Source organism: Homo sapiens, chromosome 8 (assembly GCF_000001405.40).
Source record: "Homo sapiens chromosome 8, GRCh38.p14 Primary Assembly".
Lineage (NCBI taxonomy): Eukaryota > Metazoa > Chordata > Mammalia > Primates > Hominidae > Homo > Homo sapiens.
The window spans coordinates 2,788,179-2,809,244 of record NC_000008.11 but is presented as its reverse complement, the minus strand read 5'-3'; the positions used below and the strand labels follow the sequence as shown (position 1 = coordinate 2,809,244).

At 38.4% G+C, this 21,066-nt stretch overlaps 1 long non-coding RNA gene across 5 annotated transcripts in view, besides 1 other annotated feature; it reads right to left on the bottom strand.

Annotated features, from left to right (window-relative positions):
* LOC105377785 (uncharacterized) overlaps positions 1 to 21,066 on the bottom strand; it is a 297,276-nt gene that overhangs the window by 214,987 nt on the left and 61,223 nt on the right. For all 5 annotated transcript variants that reach the window (NR_168443.1, NR_168445.1, NR_168442.1 and 2 more), the window contains exon 2: positions 4,536 to 4,659. This is a non-coding gene — a long non-coding RNA (uncharacterized LOC105377785). The remainder of the gene's footprint in view (positions 1 to 4,535; positions 4,660 to 21,066) is intronic.
* Positions 12,879 to 13,048: an enhancer, noted in NCBI's record as "experimental_102978 CRE fragment used in MPRA reporter constructs". NCBI's record gives its function as "activates a minimal promoter by MPRAs in K562 erythroleukemia cells, with activity observed for the introgressed 8:2653818 variant allele {active_cell/tissue: K562}" and the evidence as "EXISTENCE:reporter gene assay evidence [ECO:0000049][PMID:34662402]".

Sequence of the window (21,066 nt, the reverse complement as noted above, 5' to 3'; positions counted from 1 at the left end):
ATAAGCATGAGGCCTCCCCAGCCATGTGGAACTGTGAGTCCATTAGACCTCTCTTTCTTTACCAGAAATACCAGTCCTGGGTATTTCTTCATAGCAGTATGAAAATGGATGAATACAGACAGGAATAGAGATAAATGAACACCTGACCCTGTGCCCAGGCAGAATGGGACCACAGTGGAGGGAGGCTGGTTGGTAGTTGCAGGAGGGCTCAGCCCAGATGGATGCATTTGGGGCTTATTGCTGCTAAATTTTTGGAGCTTTTTGAGGTCAAATGCTATGTCATGTGCCTCTCAGTTTCCTCTGTAGCTCCCCAGCTGTTGTGGCTTACTCATAGAAGAGTTCAGTAAACATCCTTGCCTTGATTAGCACCGAACAGAACCACTCTCTTGTGATCCATATAAAATCCTCTTGAGCAATTACTAGGTAATTTCCACTGTCTTATAGGAGCATAATCATAGCAATATTGAGGTGAGATATCTTTTCTTTTTTAATAAAAGAACTCTAAAATGAAAACTTCAGTGCAAAGGAATAGTGAGTCAGAGGTCTGGTGGGGATGGTTTTAGAAATGCCAGTAACAGAACAGTAAATAACTTGATCATTTAGTGCACTGAGTAGAAAAAAAACCCTCATAGATGACTCTTCTATATACTTCTTGTGATTTTAACACCTACATTTAGCTCCTAGGCATGAGTTTGAAGTCAAATATGTAACCATTAAATCTCACCTTTACCTGAAGCTGTTGAAATATCCTTAGAAATTAAAGGAAAAAATAGAGACTGGCAGTTTTTCATAGATTAAACTCTTTCATACCTGTCTTGATTGAGTACTGTGGTGGCTCCAGTGCTCAGGTGGCAGGCAGTTAAATCTGTTAGCAGACACTGAAAAGAACTTACGTAAGAAATGAAATAGTGAATTATTTGATAACTGTCCTGCACTAAATTTTTCTTTAAACAGCTGCAGGAATATTGCCAACCGTTTCCGTTTTTACGAGTAACACTGTCTTACTTGCTGTCATTGAACCAGTTGGAAACAAATGCGAAAATAAAAACCATGAGAATATTTGATATTTCCATCTTTTCAGAAAACAGCCTCAGAAAATGTGCCCTAATAAGTCAATGAACTGAATATGCTTCACACTCACACATGCCTAATTCAATTATTGTTCAATTAGAGAAAAACAACAACTTCTGTTCTTATTCCTAAGTGTACTCTTCATATCATCTCTTCATTATTTCTGATCATTCCTCTGTTCTGATTTAGTTTTACTGCCAGGTCTGCATATTTCCAATTGTTAAGCATCTTCCCCTTGGTGGCCAGTCTCAGTCTCCCCATAGCTGAGAGTAATTTCCTGCTGTCAGGAAGGCCCATCTTGGCTCCCAGAGGGCCGGGTCCCATCCTATCCCTCAGACAGTTATGCGCATGCATTTTCGTCCTCCTTACATAAAGTAGGGAGGCTTTGCTGAGTCAGGAGACTCCATCATAAAACATGGCGCTTGGTATATGATTGTATTTTACTTGTCATGAATCAAAACGTAATTGAAGATATTGTTTGAATAAATGAATAGATATATTGTCAGACTGAGTTCAGACAAAATAATAATGAGTGATGATAAAGTACTAAGAGGTTTTGAACTTATGCAAGGAGAGAACAAAGGAAAAGTTTTAAAAAGAAAATATAAAGTATTCAAATTACTCTTATTGTTTTTATTTCAGTAATGTTATTTGCAGTGTAGGAAGAAGTCTGAAACATTAATTACCCAGAGTAATAGCTTAAAATTCTAAGATCTCTCTCTCTGTCTCTTTCTCTCAAAATGCATATATACACACACATATATATATTTATTTATTTTCATTGAATCTCAACCACAGAATTTTGGTAACAGAGTTGTTACAGTTCTAACACACATACTATTTTCTTGCTATCAAGATTCCTCTTTGTACAAACATAAAAACAGTGTGTGGAATTATATCAATAATAAAGTAATAATTTTTGCATCCCTGGAATAAATTCTGTTAGGTTGGTGCAAAAATAATTTCATCAACGTAATACTTGATCATGGTCAATGATACTTTTAATATGCTGTTGAAAATCATTTGCTAGTATTTTGTGGAAGAGTTTTCCATCTATGTTCATCAAGAATATTGGTCTGTAGTTTTCTTTTCTGATAGTGTCAGTGTCCTTGTCTGGCTTTTACATCAGGGTAATGTGGCCTCGAAAATGAGTTTGAATGTACTTCCTTTTCGTCAGTTTTTGGAAGAGTTTGAGGATAATCGGCATTAATTGGTAGAATTCACCATGAAACAATCTCATCGTAAACTTTTCTTTGTTGAAAGGGTTTAAAAATTATTACTAATTCAATATTCTCGTTATTGGTTGTTCAGGTTTTTTTTATTTCTTGATAATTTGGTCTCGAAGATTGTATGTTTCTAGGAATTTATCAGTTTCTTCTAGGTTTTCCAATCATTGGTGTATAATTGCTCATAGCAGTCTTGAATGAACCCTTGTATTTCTGTGGTGTCAGTTGGAATGACTCCACATTAATTTGTAATTTTATTTGAGTCTTTTCTCTGTCTTAGCTAGTCTAGCTAAAGATTTGTCAGTTTTGTTTATCTTTTAACAAAAAACACTCTCAGCTTCATTGATCTTTTCTATTGCCTTTCTTCTCAATCTGTTTTTGCTCCAATCTTTATTATTTCTTTCCTTCTACCAACTTTGGGCTTACTTTGTTCTTCATTTTCTAGTTCCAAGAGTTGTCAAATTGGATTATTTGAGATCTTTCTTTTTTCTTAATGTAGAAATTAAGAAAAAATTCATTTATGGTAGTAAAAATTTACTTAGGAATAAATTTATCCACAGATGTGAAAGATCTGTACATTGAAATCTATAAAATACTGATGTAAAGAATTAAAATAGACAAAAAATGAAAACCAGAACAATGTTAAAAAACCAGAAGAATAAATATTGTCAAAATATTCATACTACCGAATGTGATCTACAGATTCAGTGCAATCCATTTCAAAACTCCAATGGCATTTTTTACAGAAATAGAAAAAAAAATCCTTAAATTCATATGGACTCACAGAATATCCCGAATACCTAAAGCAATCTTGCACAAGACGAACAAAGCTGAAAGAATTACATTCCCTGGTTTCAAATTACATTGCAAAGCTGTAGTAATCAAAACAGCATGATATGGGCATAAAACAGATACACAGTCCAATGAAACAAAATAGCCCAGAAATAAACCCATGCATCTATTATCAACTAATTTTAAACAAGGGCATTAATAAAACACAATGTGGAAAGAATAGTCTCTCCAGTAAATGCTGCTGGGGAAACTGGATAGCCACATGCAGAAGAATGAAATTGGACCCTTACCTCACATCACATAAAAAATCAACCAAAACATATTAGAGACTTGAACCTTAGACTGGAAACTGTAAAAGGCTGAACTCAGGGCTAATGCTCAAGGCATCCTCTGAGTCTTTTTTCAGCCACATGCGAGCCTGGCTCCAAGCCTAGTACCCTGGCTAAGGCCAAGCAGATGCCCATTATTAGCCATAGGTTGAGGTTCTCTAATTGGCAGATTCTAGAATAAAATACCATAAGGCTTCTGAATAAGGGGAAAGGTTTTTCCATATCTCTATATAACTCCCACTCTCAATTCCTTTTTTTTCTTGCCTCAGGATTGGCCTCCCTCAGAAAGTGACAATACAAACAATTTCCTTCAGGGCCACCCCCAAGCTACCCCACACATGGTGACACCAATATACACCCTTTGACCTCCCAAAGACATCAGACCTCAGTCCTAAACAATGGAGCACTTCCTGGGGTTGAGTGATTTAGTTCCATGTGATTCTACTGCAAGAGTAGTCTAGGGTGGCCTGCATTAAACTACTTTAAGATCTTTTGGGTTTTTTTTTCTATGACCTGGGGGAAAGACATCAGATATCTATCTATCTTACAGTGTTTGTCACCTCTGTTTCTAATCTCCAGTGGGATCAAATACTCCAACAAAAATAAATACAGTTTTTTCTATGACCTGAGTAGAGGAGATCAGATCGATCTATCTATATACCTATGTATCTCTTACAGTGTTTGTCATCTCTGTTTCTAATCTCCAGTGGGATCCAATATTCAAACAAAAATAAATACAGTTTTCCCAAAACTATTACAGACTGGCACATAATAGCCTGAGTTCAAACTTAAACGAGATTATCTCCTTGAAGAAACCCCATAAGTCTTGAGTGACATACATTTTTCTATAGGAATTGTTCAGTTTACAAGATCACTTTATCACATTTGATAGGAAGCATTTACTCTGAGGCTTATCACTGGATTCCCAACCTTGCTGGTCATGCATTGCCTCACATAGGAGGTGTTCACAGCACTGCAGAGGACATGTGACTATAGCAAAGGGCAATCTATCCCAAAGCTGATTAAAATCCCTAGCTTCCACGATTGAGGAAGACAGGGATGCGCCTGCTATACCCACTGGGATTTTTAAAAACAATCACAAAACCTCTCTCCTTACCCCACAGCCATTGACCTAGGTCAGTCCTGCAGCTCTGCCAACACCTTCTAGGACTTGAACAGATTATATGGTTGTATGGTCTCATTGTGATGCTTCCTCTCCACGTGTGACTCTGGATATTAACCTATAGGCAAGAGAGCAAAAACAACAGCAAATATTAATCCAACTCACATTCCACCCAAGCACCATTCTTAGTGCCTTACATGCCTTAATTTATTTTATCCCAACAAAAATCTTATGACTTATATGCTATTATTATCTATACTCTCACTGATGGGCACAGAGGCTGAGTAACTTCCTTCAGGACACACAGCAAAGAAGTGCAGACCTTGGGTTTGAACCCTCGAGGTAGACTTGACTTCTTGCTCTAAAAATCTGTATTGGGAGAAAAAACTTGCTTGAAGTAGTTACCTGAGTTTTACTTGGAAGTAGGTATACATATTTGTTGCAGATCTGAAAATGTATTCCAAGAGTAAAGTAGAGTCACAATGTAATTTGATGTAATATATACAAGATATGAGATAATATACAACTTACACTACTAAGGGTGGTTTTGAGAGAAAAAAAAAAAGGCTTTTGGTAAAACACTAAATTCTGTGCCTCAAGGAAAATATATACCAAAATCAAACAAGCAAACGATACCGGTAAAAATACAATAATTTTCAGACGAAATGTGTTTTGTTATTTTAGTGATTGCAAAGGAAATTTACGAAGATAATATGACTGATTATATCACAGTAAAGTAGCAAAGGACAAAATTTCTTGAAGTGGGATGTTAAAACTTGCTACTGACATAATAAATACTTTATGCAATTTTCTATGAGACAGTAATCACATAGCTTCCACAACATATCTTTATTATTTTTATTTTACTAATTTTTTTGGTTTGCTTGAAATTGTGATGAAACACTTTCAGCAATTCCTTTTACATACATCCAATTTGGTTTAAACTCTAGAAACTCAGGGACACATTTTCGTGTTTGTTTTGATTTCTACAGATGACCGGAAAGAAAGTAATTGGCTTTCACTAACTGTTTTTATTCAGGAGTTCTTTTTCATTAACTGTTGCCAACAGATATAAAATAACATTTTAAAAAGTTGACTATGCATTCATCCAAGTATTTAGAAATGCATCCATCTCAAAATGCATGAGTCAATGATCCAGTTCCATTGTTTTACATGTGAATATCCGGTTTTCCCAGCACCGTGTGTTGAAGAGACTTTCCTTTCCTCATTGTGCATTCCTGGCCCTCTTGTCAAAGTTCAATTTACCACGGGTTAAACACTTAAATATAAGATCTGAAACCATAAATCTCCTGAAAACAATCGGAGGGGAAAAAAATCCTTTCCATTTGTCTTGGCAATGATTTTTTGGATGTAATACCAAAAGCACAGGCAAAAAAGAAAAAGAAACAACTAAGACTAGGTAAAACCAAACAGATTCTGCACAGCAATGAAAACAACAACAACAAAATGAAAAGGTAACCTACAGAATGGGAAAAAAATTTGCAAACCATGTATTTGATAAGGTGTTCATATCCAAAATATATAAGAAACTTAACTCAGTATTAATAAATAAATAAATAACTCAGTTAGAACATGGGCTAAGAATCTAAATAGACATTTCTCCAAAAAATAAAAACGATGTACAAATGGACCACGGGTATATAAAAAGGTGGTCACTAATCATCAGGGAAAATCAAATTAAAACCATGTGAGATAACAGCTTACACCTGTTAGAATGGCGATCATTGAATAACAAATGATAACAAGTGTTACGGATGGTGTAGAAAAAGGGAACCCTCACACACTGTTGATGGGAATAAAAATTAGTATAGCTATTATGAGAAACCGTATGGAAGTGCCTCAGACAACTAAAAACAGAACTACCATATGATCCAGCATTCCCACTAATGAATATTTATCCAAAGGAAAGAAAATCAGTATATCAGATATTTGCACCTGCATATTTATTGCAACATTTTTCACAATAGCCAAGATATAGAATAAACCTCAATGTCCATCCACAAATAAACAAGAGCTAAAGGTGAGCTACAGGATGCTGCAAGCGTGCGATGTGTCTTGGTGCGTGAGCACAGATACTTTCTACATGCCTAGCATATGGAGAAGATGAGGCCCAGGGATGGCTGCAGTTAAGACCAGGAGGCAAAGCCTGTAAAGACCATGGGAAACTGAGCGGGCTCAGAGGCTGGAGCCCAGTGAAAGAAATGGCCACACCTGGATCCAGAGGAAGCACAGATGGTGAATATAAAGGCTGATAATGGTGGTTGGGGCTGAGGGCGTCCAGCATAGTCAGGGGGTCAAGACTCCTGCAGAGGAAGCTTTCCCTCATGGAAGCTTTTCCTTCTGTAATATGCCTGGGTAAATACACATCATGTATATTTGTCTTCTTCTTTACATGTAATTAATATGTGCAATATTAAACAAGTAGACACAGTCTACTGGCAGTTTACAAAGGATCTGTAGAATACTTTGATTGATTTTTATTATAGCCACAAAGAAAGAAGTTTCAGAAAACCTTTAAGATTTTTGTCTTTATGATAACTTGGAAAAGAAAATCCAATGCTCTTACGATCTTTTCCGTCACCGTAATATCAGTCTATTGGGGTTTGATATGTCTCTTGTCAAATTTCTCCTTCTACAGTAATCAAAATGCACACATGAGCTTGCGTGCGCACACACACACACACACACACACGCACAAAGAGTTCTGGCTTGTGGCAAACAACATGTCTGATTAGAACTAGAATAGCCACATAGTTTACAAGAATGGAACACCTGGTTAAAGGCAATGAGAGCTTTTAGAGCAACCAGATCTTGAGGGCCAAAATTGTAAAGAAAAGAGAACTACATAAGGTGAGTCTGTATTATAAACCTGCTTTTCACATACGGCCTCTTGTAAATTCACAGCTCTGAGTCAATACGTTTCTAAAAAGTACATACATCAGGTTGTTCAGTTTCCATGTAGTTGAGCGGTTTTGAGTGAGTTTCTTAATCCTGAGTTCTAGTTTGAGTGCACTGTGGTCTGAGAGAGAGTTTGTTATAATTTCTGTTCTTTTACATTTGCTGAGGAGAGCTTTACTTCCAACTATGTGGTCAATTTTGGAATAGGTGTGGTGTGGTGCTGAAAAAAATGTATATTCTGCTGATTTGGGGTGGAGAGTTCTGTAGATGTCTATTAGGTACACTTGGTGCAGAGCTGAGTTCAATTCCTGGGTATCCTTGTTGACTTTCTGTCTCATTGATCTGTCTAATGTTTACAGTGGGGTGTTAAAGTCTCCCATTATTAATGTGTGGGAGTCTAAGTCTCTTTGTAGGTCACTCAGGACTTGCTTTATGAATCTGGGTGCTCCTGTATTGGGTGCAAATATATTTAGCATAGTTAGCTCTTCTTGTTGAATTGATCCCTTTACCTTTATGTAATGGCCTTCTTTGTCTCTTTTGATCCTTGTTGGTTTAAAGTCTGTTTTATCACAGACTAGGACTGCAACCCCTGCCTTTTTCTGTTTTCCATTTGCTTGGTAGATCTTCCTCCGGATTCCCTATTTAACAAATGGTGCTGGGAAAACTGGCTAGCCATATGTAGAAAGCTGAAACTGGATTCCTTCCTTATACCTTATACAAAAATCAATTCAAGATGGATTAAAGACTTAAACGTTAGACCTAAAACCATAAAAACCCTAGAAGAAAACCTAGGCATTACCATTCAGGACATAGGCACGGGCAAGGACTTCATGTCTAAAACACAAAAAGCAATGGCAACAAAAGCCAAAATTGACACATGGGATCTAATTAAACTAAAGAGCTTCTGCACAGCAGAAGAAAATACCATCAGAGTGAACAGGCAACCCACAAAATGGGAGAAAATTTTCGCAACCTACTCATCTGACAAAGGGCTAATATCCAGAATCTACAATGAACTCAAACAAATTTACAAGAAAAAAACAAACAACCCCATCAAAAAGTGGGCGAAGGACATGAACAGATACTTCTCAAAAGAAGACATTTATGCAGCCAAAAATCACATGAAAAAATGCACACCATCACTGGCCATCAGAGAAATGCAAATCAAAACCACAATGAGATACCATCTCACACCAGTTACAATGGCAATCATTAAAAAGTCAGGAAACAACAGGTGCTGGAGAGGATGTGGAGAAATAGGAACACTTTTACACTCTTGGTGGGACTGTAAACTAGTTCGACCATTGTGGAAGTCAGTGTGGCAATTCCTCAGGGATCTAGAACTAGAAATACCATTTGACCCAGCCATCCCATTACTGGGTATATACCCAAAGGACTATAAATCATGCTGCTATAAAGACACATGCACATGTATGTTTACTGTGGCACTATTCACAATAGCAAAGACTTGGAACCAACCCAAATGTCCAACAATAATAGATTGGATTAAGAAAATGTGGCACATATACACCATGGAATACTATGCAGCCATAAAAAATGATAAGTTCATGTCCTTTGTAGGGACATGGATGAAATGGGAAATCATCATTCTCAGTAAACTATCGCAAGAACAAAAAACCAAACACCGCATGTTCTCACTCATAGGTGGGAATTGAACAATGAGAACACATGGACACAGGAAGGGGAACATCACACTCTGATGACAGTTGTGGGATGGGGGGAGGGGGGAGGGATAGCATTGGGAGATATACCTAATGCTAGATGACAGTTAGTGGGTGCAGCACACCAGCATGTCACATGTATACATATGTAACTAACCTGCACATTGTGCACATGTACCCTAAAACTTAAAGTATAGTAATAAAAAATAAATACATCACCTGAGCTTTAGGGAACATCTGGGGCTGCAGACATAAAGCTAGAACTTGGAACTGCCGAGGTAGGCAGGACTTGGAGGGCCAACCAGTAGCTGTGAGCCACATGCTCAGCAGTCTTGCCTTTAAGGCAAATGCTTAATATTTAAGCTCCACTGAGCTGGTGACTAAGAATTAATGTTGTTGACTAACAGAGCAGAGTTGGTGTTCTCAAGAAGCTGAGGGGCCTTCATGCTTGAGTTCAGGAACCAGGAAGGAGGAAGAGCTTTGGAAAAACCTCAGGCTCTCAGGCAGAGCCCCAGCTATGTAGGAGGGAATGAAGAACAGCATAGTAAATACAGAAGAAACTGTAAATGGATATTGAATACACAAAGTGACATCAGCAATTTAATTTTAGAATTTAAACACATGCCCATAATATTGTATGCATATATGTTACTAACAAGCTCATAAAATGAATGTGGAAAAAAAGAAAACAAATTAACTATTAATACGAAAGCAGAAAGGATGAAAAATTAAAACAGTTGAGACAAACAGATCAAATAAAATAATACTGCAAGTAAAAACCAAATATAAAAATAGTTTCACTTAATGTAAATGGATTAAACTGTACAATTAAAAGACAAAGATTGCTAGATTGAAAAAATGCAAAAGTCAGTTATGTATTATTAAAGTGATATGCCTTAATTATAAGAACCCAGCAAGTTGAAAATAAAAGTATAAAAAAAAGACCATGCAACCTCTAAACAAAACAAAGTGCGGATATTCTATTAATAGCAAACGCAATGCAAGAAGCATTTCTAAAGATTAAGAGGGGTATTTTATGACAAAAGATTTCTAAAACAATAATTTCTAAAGTTTAAGAGGGGTATTTTATGACAAAGACCTACCGGGAAGCTGTCACAATTTTAAATATATATGCATATTTTATCATAGCTTTAATATATACAGTGTACTTATATACACATTACACTGAAACTGACCTTTATGCTGTGCCATAGCTCATAAAGTTCTTTGCCTCTGTTCTAGGATTCTGTGTCTTCTGCCATCATCCATGTAACTATAACCTGGTAACTTTGTTTCCCAGCTTTATTGAGGTCTAATTGATAAATAAAACTTGTATATATTCAAGATGTACAATATGATGTTTTGATACATGTACACATTGTAAAATGACTACCACGTTAGCTAATTAACATATTCATCACCTCACATAGTAAACTTTGTTGTTGTTGTTGTAAGCACATTTAAGTGCTACACTCTTAGTAAACTTCAAGTATGCAGTACAATGGTATTAACTTTAACTACCATGCCGTACATTGGATTCCCCATAACTCATTCATCTTATAACTGAAAGTTTGTATATTTTGATCAATGCTCTCCATTGCCTCTAACATCCAGGCTCTGTCAACTGCTCTTCTATTCAGTTCCTGAGTTTAGCTTTTATAGATTCCATATGTAAGTGGGATCATGCAGTATTTGTCTTTCCCTGGCTTATTTCACTTGGTGTGATGTCCTCCAGGCTCTTCCATGGTGGGAGTGTAAATTAGCGCAGTCATCATGGAAAACAGTATGGAGATTCCCCCCAGAATTAAAAATAGATCTACCATATTATCCAGCAATCCCACTGCTGAGTATACATTAAAAAGAAATAAAATCACCACCTCAAAGAAATGTCTGCACTCTCATGTTTATTGCAATATTATTCACAATAGCAAAGATGTGGAAACAACTAAGTGTTTGCTGATGAATGAATGGATTTAAAAACATAGTATGTACAGTCACGTGCTGCTTAACAATGTTTTGGTCAGTGATGCGCCACATGTATGACAGTGATCTGAGCAATAGGCTATACCATGTAGCCCAGATGTGTAGTGGGCTACACCAACCAGGTTTACCTAAGCATGCTCTATGATGTTTGCACAACCATGAAATTACCTAACAATGCATTTCCCAATGATCCTTGTTGTTGAGGAGAAAAACGGGCTCTCTCTCTTTCTCAATCTATATATATATATATATATATATATATATATATATATATATATATGTAGAACATACCTACATATATATATATATATATATATATATATATATATACATCTTTTTCAAGGCTGCATAATATTCCACTGTATATGTATTATATATTGTACATATTATATACACATATTATATATACTGTATATATTAAAATGGTTCCAGGTACATGCAGATTATATATTCAGTATATATAATTTATATACTATATATATATATATATAATATATACTGTGGAATATTATGCAGACTTGAAAAAGAAGGAAATCTTGCCAGTTGAAACAAGGTGGGTGAACCTGGCCTGAAAACTTTTAACAGGGTATAACCTCAGACACTTCATGGTTCTTGACAAGCGTATGACTGACAATGACTAATGGATTTTTAGAAAACCTGAAGATTCTAACTTTGCAACAAATGGATAAAATTTTTCCAGAAATATAACTCTGATGTACAATACGGCCACTCGCTTCCAAACCCCCAGTGTTACTCTAGCTTATCTTGTGGATCAGACATGTTGCCAAAGAAACATTTCCAAGGCAACACTCTGTTTATGACACTTGTGACAGATTGGGTCATTGTTCCCAGTTCTTCACACTCTCCCTGCATCTAGGTCCTTTTCTGTGTGATGACGTTGTGTTATCTTTCACCCAAGTAGAGCATAATTTTCCACCCCATTTATGTTGGGCTTTGCCACATAACTTGCTTTGCACAATGGAAGTGGACAGAAGTTATGCATGCCAGTTTGCAGGCAAGGTCTGAAGAGTTATTATATATTTTGCTCATCTCTCTTGTTTCCCTTTGAGCACTTTGTTAAGGTCCGAGGAGACTGAGGAACCCTATGCACGTTCATAAATCTACATGACCTTCTGGAGCAAGCCTCCTGCTCCGAGTAGTAATGTCTGAGTTGAAGACCCAAGTAAGATAACACACACATGTTGTTGTAAGTCATTGATATTTTGAAGATGTTTTATGAGCAGCAAACACTAACACAGCACTTCGATGCTCACAAAATTTCAAGGACTTTTCATAGCCTGAAGAACAAAGATCATCATACTGATTCTCAGAGCATTCTACAATTATGCCTCACCTGTCTATTAGTTTAATCTTTTTCAATTCTCTTTCATTAACCAAGTCTTTTTTTTTTTTTTTTTTTGAGACGGAATCTTGCTCTGTCGCCCAGGCTAGAGTACAGTGGTGCAACCTCAGCTCGGCTCACTGCAAACTCTACCGCCCAGGTTCATGCCATTCTCCTGCCTCAGCCTCCCAAGTAACTGGGACTACAGGCGCCCGCCACCACGCCTGGCTAGTTTTTTGTATTTTTAGTAGAGATGGGGTTTCATCATGTTAGCCAGGGTGGTCTCGATCTCCTGACCTCGTGATCCGCCCATCTCGGCCTCCCAAGGTGCTGGGATTACAGGCGTGAGGCACTGCACCCGGCCTAACCAATTATTTTACTAAGACGACTTAGTCCATGAGCAGTTAACACTGAAAATATATTTATATGGTCAAGCTCAACATATATTTCCTTGTAGCATGTTCCACAAAACCTCTCCATTTCAACAGGCTATCTCCTTCTTGATAGGCCTTTTTTTTTTTAAATAAGAATTACTTTGCTCTCTTTTATCTTTAAATCTAGAAATACACAATTTTAATTTCACAGTCTACCCTATAAAAAAGCTCTAAACTTTTTGGTGGCAGAAACTGTACTCTTCATGCTGACATATTGAGTGGTACATTACCATATTGTTTTATACATAGTGGCATATACATAGATTTGATTAAATTAGCGAGGGAAAATATTATGGAATATATTGTGTAAACAATAGGATGGAAAATATGGGAAGGGGTTCAGTAAACAATTAGCCCTCTGTAAATGTGACTTGTTATAATTTTTCTCGGAATGAATCATAAACAGCAGATGGAAATTGATTACCACAAATGAATCCTCTGCCATAATTAACAAAGTCAGAACCTGGAGCATGGGTAGATCTCTAACCACGAGCAACCAGGCTTGTGCAGAATCACTCCAAATAACTGACAGTGACAAACAGGTGTATTAGAGTGGTAATTATCCATGCATTGGAGATTGGATCCCAGCTAGGACTCTAGTACCCTGACCAACTCCCTCTGCCCTCCCCTCCCAGGAACATAAAATAAACTCTGATTTCCTAGGAGATAAAACCTAAAGCTAGCCCAGGTCCTAGAAATGAGAGTCCTATGGTATGTTGAGGAAAGGACAATTTATCCCATTTAACTATTACCAGAGTAAAACCCTCCATCCTTTTCCTTTTCCTTTTATTTTACTTAGTTTGTTCGAGTTTTAGAATTGAAGTGAACTGAGGAACAGCTTTTCTGCCACTCACGGTCTGGCAGTGGATGGCTTTGGTCTGCTGTTCCCATAGTATGACCCACCCCTGGCTGCACTCACGGTCTGGCAGTGGATGCCTTCAATCCGCTGTTCCCATAGTATGACCCACCGTTGGCTTCAGTTGATAATTCATGGTCTGGCAGTGGATGCCTTCAGTCCGCTGTTCCCGTAGTATGACCCAGCCTTGGCTGCAGTTGATAACTCACGGTCTGGCAGTGGATGCCTTCAGTCCGCTGTTCCCATAGTATGACCCACCCTTGGCTACAGTTGATAACTTATGGTCTGGCAGTGGATGCCTTCAGTCCGCTGTTCCCGTAGTATGACCCAGCCTTGGCTGCAGTTGATAACTCACGGTCTGGCAGTGGATGCCTTCGGTCCGCTCTTCCCGTAGTATGACCCAGCCTTGGCTGCAGTTGATAACTCACGGTCTGGCAGTGGATGCCTTCAGTCCGCTGTTCCTGTAGTATGACCCAGCCTTGGCTGCAGTTGATAACTCACGGTCTGGCAGTGGATGCCTTCGGTCCGCTGTTCCCGTAGTATGACCCAGCCTTGGCTGCAGTTGATAACTCACGGTCTGGCAGTGGATGCCTTTGGTCTGCTGTTCCCATAGTATGACCCACCCTTGGCTGCAGGTGATTAGTCATGGAGTGGGTAGCTAGGGAGACAGTGTTTACCCTGGTTAGGTCACAGAATGCATGAGGTGTTTCCGACACCAATTGTTTTCCACCGTGTGTAAAGGAAATCAGAAAAGAGCCAGTCAGTGAAAGAGATAAACAACACCCGTGTGCAGGGGTGAAAGGCGGGCAGGTTGAACTTCCTGGGAAACCTGAGGGCTCCAGCTTCCTCGCCTCCCTTCAGCACTTTAATACAACTTTGTTGCCCTAAAATATACTCTTCTTTCCCTCAAGCTTGCATGAGTTAAGTTTCTTGTGACGTTCAACCAAAAACTTCTGAAATGTTTAAAGATATTGAAATGACACATTTTCATAGCTGACAGTCCTTTCTGTATAGTTAAGATATTGTTCAGTGGATTATAGTAATGTAGGTAGAGATTATTCTGCCCCAATACTCAACATTTAATATATTTTTTAAACACTCTCTTTCAACATATTCAGAGAGAACATGTAGGATTCATGAACTGGATGGGAAAATACAGTTGCTGTCTAGCAGAAAACTACTCAGAATTTCAAGGATATGAAAACAGTGGTTCCAGGTACATGCAGATTTTTCAACCACTTCGATACTGAGATGAAAGACAGTGTTGTATTGGTTGAAAATATAACTAGCAGTTTGCAGGAGAGCATGCTAGTGAAATAGCAGTGAACATTGCCAGCAGTTTCCAGCTGTTCACTGTGAATTCTTGTCTTCTGTCCCAGTTACTGCAGGTAACATCCTCCTCACTCCTCTCCTTCCGCTTTCAGGAGCAGCATCTACCATCACAGACATTCAAGAGTTTGTTGTTTTATGTTAGGAAGGAAGACCCAACCCAACAGACAGCACATGTTCCTCTTGTACAAAATGCAGCCTTGGGATAATTTTCATAATTAAGATTTTCCCTTGCATTTGAATGCAGGTAAACACCTTTATATGAACTTTATATTACTTCCCTTTCACCTGTGGCCTCCTTGGACCACATGTATTCATGTCTTTATTTCCATTCGATTACAAGTTATTTGTGGGATAACGCAACTGGGACAGATCTCAGGAATGAAGGACTGCGTTGCGTGGGAAGCCTGCATGATGAGTTCTCGATGTTCAGACTCCTACGCTGGAGCACTCCGTCCTTGACAGAGACTGGCTGGTTGCTCAGCAAACTGTGGCTTGTCCTGGGCAGACACAGTCCAACTGCATTCCCAGCCTTCCTTTCTGCGGGGTGTCTCCATGCGGTGCAGTTCTTGACTGTAGAATGAGGGAGGAAGTGACCCATGCCATTCCCAGTGGGGCACATTAACAACAAAATAAAACAAAAAATAAACAAAAATCTCACACTCCTAAAGCCCTTCTCTTCCCCTGTCTCTATAATAGGCATTTATTCCCAGAGGGATTTTTGTAGCCATGGTGGCAAATTGCACACCTCCAACAGCTTAGACCCCTGAATTACTGCCTGGAATAGACCCTTCCCCACTTCCCCAATCCTGGTGATGCTAATTTAATTTTACGGGTGGGAGAAATAAACTTCCAATCCTTAGAGTCACTGAGCTTCCAAGGTTGATCTGTTACAGCCATTATCTTCACCAACACACGTCAAAATACGTTAACGTGCTGGTAAACCTCAGCCTTTGGTGACACACACAGTTACGGAAGGGTTCTTGAATACCTATCCTGTGTCAAGCACTTCACAGAATAGGATATGACACCCACCTTGTAGAGCTCAAAATTTATTACACTGAGCTCAGTAAAAATGATCATATTTTCTTCTGGCTAATATATCTTGGGTCTAATATTTTCTTTGGCAATAGCGATATTCTTTGTTATTATCAAATACATCATAAATGGATTTATTCTTCTAAGTAAGGGCTTTATGGGGAACTTTCATATTCCTGGAGTGGGCTTTTTTTTTTTTTTTAGAATTCTGGAAATTATTCTAGCAATCCAAGTCATACTTCCATATCTAAATTTATTTTAAGCAACCATAATTACAACTAAGTATACTGATGCTTTATTATGGCTGCCCCAGGATTTGCAGTTCTCTGCTAAACTGCTTACATCTGTTTATGTCTTTGCCACTGTAAATCAATCCAAACAAACTCTATTCTGCTAATCCCCCCATCTGCCAACTCACATTCACTGTTTACCAATAGGAAAGACTCCCTATCATTCTAATGATAAGTGAATGAGCCACTTTGTTTCTTTTCTTGGGCAGCAAGAAGCCCTTCACCAGGCTTGCTAGATTCTATTTAGCAAATGAATGTTGGGAGAAGGATTTCGCAGACTGGCAGGACTCTAGATTCTGCCACAGAACAAATTTAATCAGGATTCTTTGTTCTACCCTTTTGTTTTCCTCATCTGTGCAAGGAGTTCAATATTAAAACTTCTTAATTGAGTGACTAGGGCCAAATCAATCAGGTTCTCACTCTGTTTTGCCTTCCCCAGCAGTGGTTGACGCCAGAGGAACAGAGTCAAATCTTAGCTTGTACCACACAGAGAACTGGTAGAAAGCAAAAGCAAAAAGCAGTGAGAGATTCATTTGAGAAGAATATTGGCTTATATATACATATAATATATATAATGTATATATATGTATGTATACATGTATGTATATCTACAAGGACAAATTGATTAAGGAGACAAGGACGTTTGGGTCATTCTGTAAGATGCAGAGGTCCTCAGCTGCCCAGATCAAACCTGTCTTCAGGTCCATGAGCACATGTCAGGCACGTAGCACTAACACCCAAAGCTGAGCAATGGCAAGGAGGGGAAGGAGTACCAGTGCCGCCAAATACAGGGTGGAGACAGGGATAAGTCCTTTGATCTCACATGTCCAAGGCGTAATAGAAGGTACTTAAATTCTGGAAAGTCACTCACCTCCTTTTGCTTAGCCCAGGAGGAGATGTGAGCCTGAGCTGAATTTAGATATAGTCTTTAATACGTCCTTTGCCTGCTCTGTTTCCTCAGTGTCTACAGGAAAACGTAGGTCAAATATCAATGCAAAGTAACAGCAACATTTAGTTGGAGCAAAGTTCACAGAAATAGGAACATTTTTGAAGCTGCAACTTTTTACATTACTTTTCAACTTGCAATAATTCTATTTAATAATTTTCATGTTATAAAGTAACCCCAACCTTTTGATTGATACATGGTTTTAGATATCTTCTGTTACCTATTTGAAATGACGCAGAGGAATTTTGTATATAAATATATATATATACACATATACACATATATATACACATACACACACATATATACACATACGTATATGTATATACATATATACATATATATACATACACACACACACACACACACACACACACACACACACATATATATATATATATATATATATATATATATATATATATATGAGATGAACAGTTAAGTTGGCGGACTTTGAGTAAAGCTAATTGCCCTCTAAAATCTGGATGGGTCTCATCCAGTCAGCTGAAGCCCTTGATAGAAAGAGGGCCAACTGCTGCCTTGTGAAGAAGGCAGCTTGCTTCCCTTTCGCCTTCCACCATGATTGTAAGTTTCCTGAGGCCTCCCCAGACATGCTGAACTGTGAGTCAATTAAACCTCTTTCCTTTATAAATTACCCAGTCTCAGGTGGTTATTTATAGCAGTATGAAAACAGACTAATACACACACAAACACACACACACACACACACACACACAGACACACACACACACATGCATCTTATGGTTTGGTTTCTCTGGAGAACCATGACTAATACAGTCAGTTGTGATATCTTCCTTAGCCAAAGAAACATGGTACAGCTGGTTTCCTCCGACGTTTGGGCTGAAGGCACCAAAGTCTAACACTGCCAATTGTGTCTTCACTGAGACAGGCTTCTATTTCTTTAATCTGAGGATAACATTAAGCTTTCTTTACTCCGCAGTTGCATAAATTCATTATATTTAAGGACTCTTCTATCTTGTAAAATAATGTATATTGTAGAAAAGTTTACAAAAGTTACATAAGGAACTCCAACCCTTCATTAAACTCTAAAGTGCACAGAAATCCACAAAGAATGCCCTGGCAAATAAAGTGCTCTCATGCTTTCATTTTCAGGGAGATAACCACCTGACTTCATTTAATCCAATATCCATTTTCTACCTTCTGTGTTTTTTTCCTGTGAGCATGTGTATATTTACAAGTTGTATGCATACAAATCGTAAATATAATACCATACACTTTGTGTGTCAGTAACAAGGCCACCTTGAATATAAGGTAATTGCCCACTTCCCGATGGATATATCTAAACGCATAACTGACAATTTGAATATCTAAACATTTAAGAACATAGTAGAAATAGTCAGTGTCTACGTGTATTATTTAATATTTAATTTAATCACACACATAATTTAAGTCACATTATATAAAATGAACTTAATTTATAAATATTAAATTTTTTCACTCTTAGGCTTCATGAAGCAGTTTTACTCAAAATTTCCACACACATTTCTGACATTTGTGCAGTCCTTACCTTGACAGCTAGTTTTTGAGTCTCTCAACACTGTCTTCAAGAATACATCTCTTCACTGCCTCTTAATTGTTCAAAATATAACACCTTTAGAATGCATCAGATGCTGTTGCTGGAAATTTTATCTGAGGTCCAGAGGACCCATTTGCATAACATTAGGATCTGTTCTTTTTTTTTTTTTTTCTCCTCCCCTGTTGATTACACTCAGGGTCTCGTGACCTCTGCAATGCAGCCAGTCTCATTCTGCCTTTAAAGGAGGTCTTTAAAATGCTTTCTACAGTGGCATTAAATACCTTTTATCTTGTAGTCATACAACCAAGAATATTTGCCAGATCTATGTTACTGTTTCTGCCTATTATTTTGTGTTTTGGGGATCTAACTTCAAAAGCATCTACAATTACATTCCTCACAATAATGCATCCTCCCCAAGTGGTGCTTCAGAATAAGAATGTGGTTGACAGAGCCATGTGCAGATGAGAAATGTTTTAATGGAATCAAAAGGCTACCCTCTGAAAAGTAACTCAGGGCCGTCATAGACAGCTGATATTTGGGCACAAACAGGTTTATTTATTAACCTATGTTTTACTTAATATATTTCAAGTAACTTTATGTTTTATTAAGTACTTAATTTATTTATTTATTTTGAGACAAGATCTTGTTCTGTCACCCAGGCTGGAGTGCAGTGGTACAATCTTGGCTCACTTCAGTCTCTGCCTCCCAGGTTCAAGCTATTCTTATGGCTCAGCCTCCCTAATAGCTGGGACCATAGGCTCACGCCAGCACACCTGGCTAATTTTTGTATTTTTAGTAGAGACAGGCTTTCACCATGTTGGCCAGGATGGTCTTGAACTCCTGGCCTCAAGTGATCCACCCTCCTGGACCTCCCAAAGTGCTGGGATTACAGGTGTGAGCCACCGCATCCGGTTTGATTAAGTACTTTCTACAGCAGAATTCTTAAATGACCGAGTAGTATTCTGTTGTGTAGAGATGGCAAATTTTCTTTAAGCAGCCCCCTTATTGTTTGGCCTTTGTTTTACTTTCTGAGAATTGCCTACTAGAAAAACACAGGGACAAACCCCTTATGATTATACCCTTGGGTGCTCTGTTATTTTCTTTTCTGGCATAAATTCCTAGCTATGCAAATGATCTACATTTTCCCTAGGCTTTGATGTATATTTCCAAAAACACCAGTGAGTGAGTTTATATTTATTTCAGCAGTAGGTAGAAGACGTGCTACTTCTTCAGAATCACACAAGGCATAATTCTTTTTCATCATTTTCAAATTGGTGGGATATTAACGTCTCTGTACTTTTCATTCACATTCAATTATTACATAGTGATGTTGACTTTTTCCACAAATTTACTGGTCCTGTAATTTCTGTCCCTTTTGTTTGAGGCCCCTCATGTCGTTTGTTAACTAGGGAAAAATCCAAGGGGCATCTTATTCAGAACCCACCCCTGGACACCTTGAGTCTGGTTCCTCGTCTTGATTAGAGGCCGATGTACGGTATTTGTATGTTCTGTGGGCTGACCAGGAGGCTCTTCTGTGCTAGAAAGGCTGGGCTGATCTCTGAAGGGTCTGCCTGTAGGCTTGAGGTCAGCCGGTGAGCTCTCCCAGGGCTGGCTGACCGAGGACATGCTCATGCATGTGATTAGCAGGCTGTTGGCCAGAGTGGAAGGGGAGCTGGGCCACAAGCCTTCCAGGATCCAGCAGGCTGACCTGAGCTTCTTCACATGGTGGTGACAGCAAGAAGACGGGCCCCACGGTGCCAGCACAAGCCACAGAGTCAGGTGCTGGGCGTCTCCCAAGGCGCTGGATGTAGGAGGTGTGAGCACATTTTCAACACTCTCCAGGGGTCCTGCTCTTGTGGATAAATGTGTGATGTCTGGAGCTAATCGAGGTTCAACCTCTAGCCCCGAAGCTTATGAAATGTGCAATGATAGACAAGGTACTTAAACCCACTGAACCTGTCTTCCTATCTCCAGAGCTGGCCCCATCATATCAGCAATCCTGCAGCAGTGAGGGTTAAGGCACTAACACACATAAAGCAGTTAACACAGAATCTGCCCCTTGATAAGGGCTCAAAATATTTCAGTTGCTGTTACTGAGTCAAACTCTTAGGTTTTAATTTTTCTTTCTTTGCAATGAATTATTTCTAG